This window comes from Homo sapiens, chromosome 6, assembly GCF_000001405.40.
Source record: "Homo sapiens chromosome 6, GRCh38.p14 Primary Assembly".
In the NCBI taxonomy this organism is placed as follows: Eukaryota; Metazoa; Chordata; class Mammalia; order Primates; family Hominidae; genus Homo; species Homo sapiens.
The window spans coordinates 46,725,880-46,736,262 of record NC_000006.12 but is presented as its reverse complement, the minus strand read 5'-3'; the positions used below and the strand labels follow the sequence as shown (position 1 = coordinate 46,736,262).

The 10,383-nt window shown below is 43.9% G+C and overlaps 1 protein-coding gene across 5 annotated transcripts in view; it reads left to right on the top strand.

Annotated features, from left to right (window-relative positions):
- The window catches only part of PLA2G7 (phospholipase A2 group VII), a 31,521-nt gene continuing 21,679 nt past the window's right edge, over window positions 542-10,383 (top strand). For 2 of the 5 annotated variants that reach the window (XM_047419359.1, XM_005249408.5), the window contains exon 1: window positions 542-645. The gene's annotated coding sequence lies outside the window, so the exon portion shown is untranslated. Of the gene's footprint in view, window positions 714-887; window positions 1,084-10,383 lie in introns of those variants that run through there. The other 3 variants (NM_005084.4, XM_047419360.1, NM_001168357.2) reach the window with 2 other exon arrangements.

Genomic DNA, 10,383 nt, shown 5'->3' with positions numbered 1-10,383 from the left:
TGAACTTCCCCAAGGTCACACCACTCATAAGTGGGAGAAACAAGCTAAAATTCAGGCCATCTTACTGCAGAATACTCAAAATCAAAATAAGCAAAATTTCATCTCCAGTTCTGGCACCTCACCAAAAACCAAAACACGATTTAAAAATATAAAATTTTAATAACACCACACATAAATTTCAAACTACTTTCCCTAAGTTTCTAGCTGAAGTTTTAAATGAGTGTGTTTTTAATTTATTAGAAAGTGGATTGAAGAGAAAACATTGGAAGATGAAGGAAGGCGTTTCAGTTAAACCCCAAATAACTCTGTGTTACACTGAGCTATGAAACGGCTCCTTCTAGCTCCATTTCTCCTCAGACCTAAGTGCTATTCCTGATTGTCCTTCATTGTCATTTCCAGGGAGAAATGACACCAGCACAGTGGCAGGCCTTCCAATCTGGAGCACGGTCCACACAACTTCCGAATTGGTGTTCAGTGTAAAGTGTATCGGAGTGCGGAAAATGCGCAGGGCATTGCCAACTATAGATGCTCGGAGTAATTCAGTGTATTCAGAGAACACGGTGAAACAAGGAAAACCGGCCTGACTGGGGGGTGAATTCAGCAGGGAGTAAATCTGATCGGCATCAGGTCTGCGGAAAGGAGCTGGTGAGCACGACACCACCCAGGCATTGCCTGGCTCTCTCCGCGGCGGGCTAAGTTAACCGCGGGTCCAGGTGCGGGCCATGGTCTTGGGGAGGGTGCTGGGTGCGCTCGAGCAGGCTAGCGTCGGGAGCCGCCGCTGCTAGTGAGAGGCCGGGGCCACACACGCTCCTCCCCGGTACCTCCTCCAGCATCACCAGGGGAGGAGAGGGTCGGGGCCACAAGGCCGCGCTAGGCGGACCCAGGACACAGCCCGCGCGCAGCCCACCCGCCCGCCGCCTGCCAGAGCTGCTCGGCCCGCAGCCAGGGGGACAGCGGCTGGTCGGAGGCTCGCAGTGCTGTCGGCGAGAAGCAGTCGGGTTTGGAGCGCTTGGGTCGCGTTGGTGCGCGGTGGAACGCGCCCAGGGACCCCAGTTCCCGCGAGCAGCTCCGCGCCGCGCCTGAGTGAGGAGGGGCCCCGGGGGCGAGGCGGGAGTGGGAGGAAGGGCACGGTCGCCGCGCTGGAGGTCGGGACCCCGGAGCGGCGACCGGCCGGGGTGGGCTCGCTGAGTCGCACCCGCTCTGCTGGCCGGTCCTGGGCTCACAGTCCCTGCAGCCCTCGGAAACAGCGCTAGGATCCTTGCGGGGAGAGGGAGAGGATGACGGTATTAGACACCAGTTCTTCCAAACCTTTTCCCGAAAGGAAGCAACCCTAAGAGCTCAGAGCTGGGGGGAGAATCAGGACAGGCAGGGAACACATGGAGTTTTCTTTTCTTTTTTTTCTCTCTCTCTCTCTTTCTTTCGTTCCTTCTTTCTTTCTTTTGAGGCGGAGTCTCATTTTGTCGCCAGGCTGGAGTGCAGAGGCGCGATCTCGACTCACTGCAACCTCTGTCTCCCGGGTTCAAGCAATTCTCCTGCCTCAACTTCCCGAGTAGCTGGGACTGCTGGCGTGCCGTATCACGCTCGGCTAATTTTTTTGAATTTTTAGTAGAGACGGGGTTTCGCTGTGTTCGCCACAATGGTCTCGATCTCCTGACCTCGTGATTCGCCCGCCTCCGCCTCCCAAAATGCTGGGATTACAGGCATGAGCCACCGCGCCCGCCCCGGAGTTTTCTTATCTGTAGATCTCCTACAGGGACAATCTCTCTCTCCGTCTCTCTCTCTCTCTCTCTCTCTCTCTCTCTCTCTCTCTCTCTCTCTCTCTCTCTCTCTCTCTCTCTCTCTCTCTCACACACACACACACCACTACACACCTCTCACTCTGCCTCCTCTCTCTCTCTCCCTCCGCTCTCTCTCTCACACACCCTTCTCCCTCTCTCCCTCTCTCTCACTCTCCCTTTGAGGAGTATTGCGTTTTTGGAGCCCAGTTATGCGTGGCTGCTGTAAGAACAAAACAAAGCACTCTTTGTCCTACCTGGAGCATCCCCCTGCCGGCCAGATAAGATCACAGCTGTGTCACCAAGTCAAGGGAGAGGCTCATTTTTAAAAAATTAAGCAAAATCAGAAAACAGAGAACACTGTCTTCCTCATCATCTCCTGGAGCTTGTAAGAGAAATTTCTGTCACCAAAAACGAAAAGTTCGGGCTTTTATTCATGCCTGTGGTTCTTGGGATTACTGCAGTGGTGATGAGGAAGGAGAGGTGCGTATGGCTCATAAATGGCAGCTTGCCACCTTTAAAAGGCACACGGATTCAGATTTGGGATGTGTTAACAAATCAGGCTTGCACAAATTACTTTTGATCCAAATGAGAATGCTGAGCTGGGAGACTGGTATATGGGTAGGAGCTGGAAAATGTATCCCCTGAGGTGTTGGCAATCCCAAGAGGCTCAGCACGAAACCTTGAGCTTACATTGAATTCAGAGATCTGAGCATTAAGCACTGGCCTGATCAAGAAGAAGCAGATGGCCTTCTGGTCACGAGGCACTGGTGAGCCTCCATCACCCAGGCAGATTCCCTCACAGAGGAATTCTGCTGGCCCTGCAGAAAGTGGTGAGACAGCGCACCACCTTGGCATTTTCCAGCAGGCCTACTTCAGCTCCTTGCACTTGGGCACTGAAAGTGCTTTCCCCTCCCCAGATATTTGTGCACCAGAAGCTGCTGCTGGCCATGTGGTGATGTCTCAATGTCTTTCTTCATTGAACTGGGCCCTTCATACCCAAGGCTGGCACCATAGTCTGTGACTGCCTACTGTACAGCCAGCAAGACTGAAGGAGTTGCAGCATTAGGAGTGTTGTGAATCTGGTTCAGCCACTCATTTTACAGTTGAGAAATCCCTTCTGAGGTGTGGAAGGGCTTGCTTAGCACCGCAGGACTTTTCCCTCAGACAGAACCTGGGACAGCTGGGTCCTCATTTCCTCTCCATTGTGTCTCTGTCCCCTTTGCACTTTTGTTGTGAGGAACATACATGGGCCTAAACACATTCCCTCACTCTCACCTTTGCACATGAATATGACTTACCACACTCTTTGAAGCTCTGTCAGCACAGAACATTAAGAAAAGTGCTAACTGGGTACCTGAGCAGCTGGAGTGGGAGCCCCTGGGAAAGTCAGTTTAGGAGTCCCCTTTATCTTCCTTTTCCTGATACCCAAGAAGATGGCTATTTCCTGGAAAGGAAGGTGGATATTGGATTATTTACACTCTGATTCCTCTTAAGCCTAATTTTTTTTCAAGATTCGTGATAATAAGCCTGACTGACGTCTCAAGATGTTGAGAAATTTCCATAAAATAAAAGCATTGAAGAGAAAGTACTGAGTGAAGGGAAATTGAAGAGAAACATTCAGTTCTAAAATTGTATTGTTTCAGAATATGATTCTGGGTTCTTACTGACTTTCTTCATGACGCCAGCCACCTGTTAGACACATTATGTGCCCTCACTGTCATTTTGCTCAATTTTATGGGCGTGACTCAACACTAACAGAAACAGGCTAATACATACAAACATGTAGGTTTTTGGTTTTTAAAGAAACTTAGCAGTTGAGGAGAAATAAAAAGTCTATTGTAAGAGTAGATGCTCATTGAATTAAGTGGGCTAGTTGATTCCTAGTAGAACTTGTATTCATTCATTCATTCACTTCAAAAAATATTTATTGATCAGATCCTAAGTGCCAGGTACTGAGTACAGCACAGTTAGTAAGATAGATATGCTCTCTGCTCTCACAGTGCTCACATTCTAGAATTGAGGGATGAACAGGGTGAATTCATATAATGAGAAGAAAAGCAAGCAGATTGCTGCAGTATAGTGGTGTGTGTGTGTGTGTGTGTGTGTGTGTGTGTGTATGTGTGTGTTGGATATATGGGAGGGGCCTAGCTTCTTGGATTGGATTGTGAGGAGAGACTTCTCTGCAAGAAGGCCTGGAGATGAAACCTCAGGAAGATGGGCAGACGTCCCTGCAGAGGGAACCACAAGCACAAATGTCCTGCTCCTGGGAACAGGTGTGATGTGTTGGAGGCACAGTTGGAATGCCAGTGTGGCTGGAGTTAGGTGAGGGAGAAGGAGAGTTGGAGGAGTGAGCTTTAGGGGCAGGAGCCAGGTCAGGAAGACCCTCATAGGCCAAGGGAAACATTTGGATTTTACTCTTTACAATGAGAGAAGCCAAAAGAGAGTTTGAAGCAGAGATGTGACATAATTGATTTACTTTATAAAGAGATGACTCTGGGTGCTATGTGGAGAATGGATTACAGGGGAAGGAGAGGGGACAGAAGAAGGCCAGAAGCGAGTTTACTGATGGGGGGTGGTAGCAGTAGATGGGCGTAGGCTATTTTTTGGAGTTACAGTGGGAAGTTAATGTTTCTCTGTCTCGAATTTCCCATCTACAAAATGGGAATGAGATTGCTATACCTGGTCCACTTGTAAAAACTAATAAACAAATGAATATGCCCTGAAGCATAATGTAAGACATTATTACCATTATTATTTGCTCATATTGTATTACTTTGAATTCCCTGTGCTTTATCTTAAAATTTATTTTAATAAATTTGATGTCTTATTATATTATTTTCAGTAAACCTAATTTATTATACATAAAAGTATCTTTCTCTGTTCGGAGAACTGGAAACTCTTAACTAAGAGTTACCAATAAAAACAAGTCGTCACAAAATGCAGGGAAATTATTGCTAAAATAATAGCTGGCTTAATTTCAAAAGTTGAATATGGTCAGATAAAAATTCAAAAATAGAATAATTAAAGCTGGGAATGGGAAAAAAATATTTTGGACAGATTTGCCTTTGTCCTGGCTGTGGTCATGCAGATATCTGTGAGTGCAAAGATTTGTAGATAACTGAAAATATCTATATGGCAGCAGAATTTCTGGAGAAGTCTGTGGACCAGAGTTGGGTAGGGTTGTTTCCCTTAGTGAAGCATTCTCTCTCAGAGGAAGCTCTTGAATTTTCTCTCGTTTATCACTAAGTTTTAGAGTGTCAGGAAGTTTTAAAGTTGTTTACCAACTAGGATAGTGACGTTCTTCGCAGAGACAGGACAAGTAACTGCCACAATAAGGCAACTCTATTTCTCTTTCCTGACTCACTCTGATGTGCAAGTTACTAGAAGGAGATATGCCTGCTTAGAGGAAAAAAAGCTCTTCCTCATTTGTATTGTGGGCAGCAGAAATGTCAGCTCGTGACTTAATAGTCCCTAGGTCATGTTAACTTGCCAGATCCCCTTAATTATTTATTGGTCAGTGTGTCTGAATTTCAGCTTGAAGTGGCTAGTCTGGTGATTCAAATTGCAGACAAAATGTGATAGTAATTCTGGGATCTGTATGATTTATCTCTTGCCATATCAACCACCATATTTTTCTTAGGGCTGGAGAGTGGGGGTGTTTGGGTATCTTAAAGGGAGAGGTTACATCTCTCCTTGAAGCCAGAAATCTATTTGTTTCACTCACGTTTTGAAAGGTTGAATTAGTTGCTCCTTTAAAAATCAGTGGATATTACATACAAATGTAATTTTCCAGTTTTTCTTGGAAGCAATCAGATGATCTAGTGACATGGAGCTGCCATTCCTACATGGAAGCAATTAACTGGAATAGAGTGGTAGTTGCCTTCTTTGGATGGTCCAGTTTGCACCATCCAAATAGAATAAGGACAGTTCACGCCAGTCCTTATTCTATTGCATGAACCTGTTTGATTCATTTAAATTACCTGTCTGGCCCTTGTAGACTTTTGATTTTTAACTTCAGGTTTAGGGCAATCAAGTGTAACCTGTCTGTTATACTTTCACCTTCATGTAATGCAGGAATCTATATTCCAGTATCCCTGCTGGTAGTCCCCAAACCTGTACTTTAACTGCTCCTCTGATAAAGAAGATAATGCTAATTGTTGAAAAGCTACTGTTGATGGAGCTGTACAGTCTGGGCCTACATAGAACATGTTTAGGAACTTTGCACAGGACTGTGGCTGTCACATGCAACCTAGGTTTTCCACATTAAAAGTAAACATTCCTCATTCCTTCAACAGCTCCTCATGTGACTTGCTGCCTTGTTCCCTCATCATTCTGGTTATTTTTGGGTTACTGTCCCTTGTCCTGAACCTTTATTTGTTAAAATCCTTAAATCCCCACCAATTCAATAAGATGTGGTCTAACTGGTGCAGAATGCAGTGGGAGGGTGGCCTCCCTTTCTCTATGATGTCATACTTTTGTCATGCAACTGAAGATGTCTTTAGATTTTTCCTGGCCTATCCATTGTGTTTTTAAATTTACTTTCAGGGCTTATTTTCCAGTTAGATTGTTCCTGAGAGTTTACAGGAGAACTGCTCAATGTACAGCTTGAGAGCAATGGTTTTCAGCTGAGGATGATTTATGCCCCCACTCCAGGGGACATCTGGCAATGTCTGGAGACGTAATATTTAGTTGCCACAACTGGGGTGTGCTATTGGCATCTAGTGGGTAGAGGCCAGGGATGTTGCTAAACACCCTGCAATGCACAGGACAGCCCCCACAGCCAAGACTTATCAGCCCCTAGTGTCAGCAGTGCTGAGCTTAAGAATTCCTACTTTAGGGTCCGGGTCTAGGTTCAGATCCTGGTTTAGCTACTTCCTATCCTTGTGAACTTGGGCACGTTATTTAACCTCTTTGTCTTCATTATCTCAACTGTATGTCAAAGAACTCTGAGGACTAAATGAGTTCATTTATATGAAATGCTTAGAAGGGTAACTGTATGTACAAACACTATCTTATTTTTCTACCATATTTTATTCATTTTGGTGTGTACATATGACATCAGATAAGTGGGTGGGTAAAGTTTGAGGGATAGCACTTCATTTCTAATCTTGCCTATGGGATGGGCACTAGTGCATTTGGATGTTTTAGGGAGCTAACAGCTTTTCTCAGAAATGCCTTCTCTCTATGGTCCCCATTATCATTTTTCCGGCTTCTTTTAGTATTTTCCTCCATATTGGGGCATATATGTCAGTTTAATACTGCATCCTCCTGGAGAATATGGACACTGAGTTCCTTTAGCGGGAGAGCATCTGTGCCTGTTGCTTGTACATCCCATTTCCGGTGTGCCCCAGGCTCCTCCACACCCCAGTCACCGTGGCTTGCACCTGCACAACAGATTCCTGGGGCTGTGTAGCAATTGGTAGACTTTGGATAATAATAATAGCATTTCTCCAAGGGCTCACATCCCCATAAGAACCCCATTATCAGGGTTCCTCTTTGACAGATGAGGAGAGAAAAGCAGAAAGTAGGTAAGAACTTAACTGAAGTCACCAAACTAGTAAGTAGCAGATTCAAGATTCAAACCTTGGCAGCCAGAAACTGGAGCTAAATTTCTAAACCACTTTATTACTCTGATACAGGTAAGTTTTCTCAAGAAGTATACCCATGACCTTAACCTAACCATCATGTAGCCATTTATGCATACAACACTCAACAGATCCAGTTACTCTTACTCTTACTATTGTGAGTAATATAGTTGGGGGACTGAGTCTGAGAGTAAGATCAGGAACTTACAGTATAGCAGCAGGCTGCCCATTGATCTTAGACAACTTTTACCTTTTATGACCTTTAAGCCATATAGAACACCAAACATTTGGACATTTGCACATGGGATGCAGATTAATTCCCATTTCCAAAATTGTGAGTAGAATCAACTAATTATATGTTACTTGCAGGTTTTGCATCTCATGCATCTGCCTCCCTAGAATGAAATAAATATTTCTTCCTTATTAAACAAGGATAGAGTTGCCCCAGCATTTTCTTAGACCAGGGTTTCTCAACCTCAGCATTATTGACATTTTGAGATTCCTCTATGTTGTAGGGCTGTCCTGTGCACTACAGGATGCTTAACAGCATCCCTGACTGCTACTCACTAGATGCCAGTAGCAGCCCCCTCCTGGTTGTGGCAACCAAAAATATCTCCAGACATTAATAAGTGTCTTCTTGGGGGGCAAAAATGCCTTAGTTGAGAGACACTGCTGTAGAGTGATGTTCTAGCTGCATTCTCCAGCCTTCATCCTATTGTAAAATATCCAAAGAAGATTTTATCTTCTTCAGCAATCATTTGGTGTGGTAATGGGTCAGTTTTGAGGTATTTAAGCCACTTTCTTTGACTTTAGTTGAAACTGAATTGGGCTATTATTTGCTTTTTGTCTCATTCAGTTACTTTATATGCTCCATATTAGTTTTCTATTGCTGCTGTAAAAATTTTCTACAAATTTAGTCACTTAAAGCAACATAATTTATTATCTCATGGTTCTGAAAGTCAGAAGTCTGACATGGCCTTACTAGGCTAAAATAACAGGTTCAGTGAACCTTCAGAGGTCAGCTAGTCTGTGTTGCTTTCCTGAGGCTCTAGAGAGAATCTGTCTCCTTACCTTTCCAAGATTCTAGAGGCCATCCACATGTTATAGCTCATGCCCGCTTCCTTCATTTTCAAAACCAGCCATGGTGGGTTGAGTTCTCACATCACATCATTCAGATCTCTTCTTCTGCCATCCTCTTATACTTTTAAGGACTCTTGTGATTACATTGGGTCAGATAATCCATGATAATCTCCCTATTTTAAGGTCAACTGATTAACATTAATTCCATTTGCATCTTAATTCTTTTTTGCCATGGAACATTACATATTCACATGTTCTGGGGTTTAGAATATGGACATTTGGGTGGGAGTGCATTATTCAACCTGCCACATGCCCCCATTCCAAAGGTCAATCAGGAAGAATTTGGAAAGAGAGTACTGATACTTAACAAATGAGCATTTTCTTTTCTGACTCTTTACTAATAACACAAGAGCTAAGGCCCACCTGCCCTAATCTCTTGCCAGGACTGGGTTTTACTTGGATGGTTTATCTGTCAGCTTTTCACAGAGATTTCAAACTCGAGATTGGACATTTTATCTATTGTTTTGGGTTGTCTTTTGTTTCGAAAAGGGAAATGATGCCTGATGAGAATTTAACAGTGACAAATAGGGGAAATCGGGATTTGTGGCAGTTATGGTTGTGTATGGAGACTACAACTGAGATCTGAAGAACAGGTAGGGCACTGTGGTTTCAGTGGGAGAAATGAAGTCTGCAGGAGAGAGGCAGAAAGGTAGAATCCGTTTAAATGGAATGTATTATCTGAGTGCTCATTGAAAGTCTTCTTGATTGCCAGGATGATATTTTATCTAGTGGTCAAGGGGCCAAATTGAAGATAGTTATTTTCAGGCCTTACTATTTGAAGAAAATCATTGATTTTTAAAGTGAACATTCCCATTGATTTAGAATGTTGGTGGCTCATGCCTGTAATCCCAGCACTTTGAGAGGTAGAGGTGAGCGGATCACATGAGGTCAGGAGTTCATAAGCAGCCTGGCCAACATGGAGAAACCTTGTCTCTACTAAAAATACAAAAATTAGCCAGGCATTATGGTGGGTGCCTGTAATCCCAGCTACTCAGAAGGCTGAGGCAGGAGAATCACTTGAACCTGGAAGGCGGAGGTTGCAGTGAGCTGAGGTGGTGCTATTGCATTCCTAGGTGACAGAGTGAGACTCCATCTCCAAAAAAAAAAAGTTTGTGTTTTTGTATTGACCAGTGATTGGGGTTATGGTAATAGATTTTCATACAATATGATGATGAAGACGGCTGTATCAAGGGTTTTAGTGTAGTCCTGTTGGATTCTCTAGTTCTAAGAGAATGTCTAAAGTTACCATTAAGTTTTTCAGGGTCCTAGTTCTTAAATATAAATACATTTCTAGCTAACTCATATCCCATGGTTGAGAAAAAGGCACTTATCTGTGTAAAGAGAACTTTAAAAGTTAAAAGACTTCTTATGAATTATTCCTGTGTGTTCATATTCAGAAGCCTCTGTGGTCATTGTGATTATTACATGTTAATATGGTTCCTGGCTCATAACTCCCGTTGCCCTTGCTACAGTCTTTGGTTATAATATTGGAGTGCTTTAGACCCCAGAAGCAGGTCTCAGAAAGCAGAATCTTTCTCTCTGACCTTTTCCTGCCTTCCTTTCACCTGCCCAAGGCAGGACTCTAATCTGATTGTAGGTTATAAGACCCTTATTCAGGGAAGGGTCCTCTTACCTTGGAAAAAGGAATGCTGCACAGACAGACCAAGAAGAATCTGAATAGACAGGGCTTGCTGGGTTGCCCCTCTGAGTCTATTAGCATTAGAGCTTACCCTTACTGTCCAGTCATATTTCTACACAGCTGTTCATACTTTGTTGAACCTATGCATAAAAATAGACAGTTTCCCCTGTATCTTTGGGTCTTCATTCTGAAGGCTCCTTGTGAATACACATTAAATAAATAATCTGCCTTTTACAAGTTG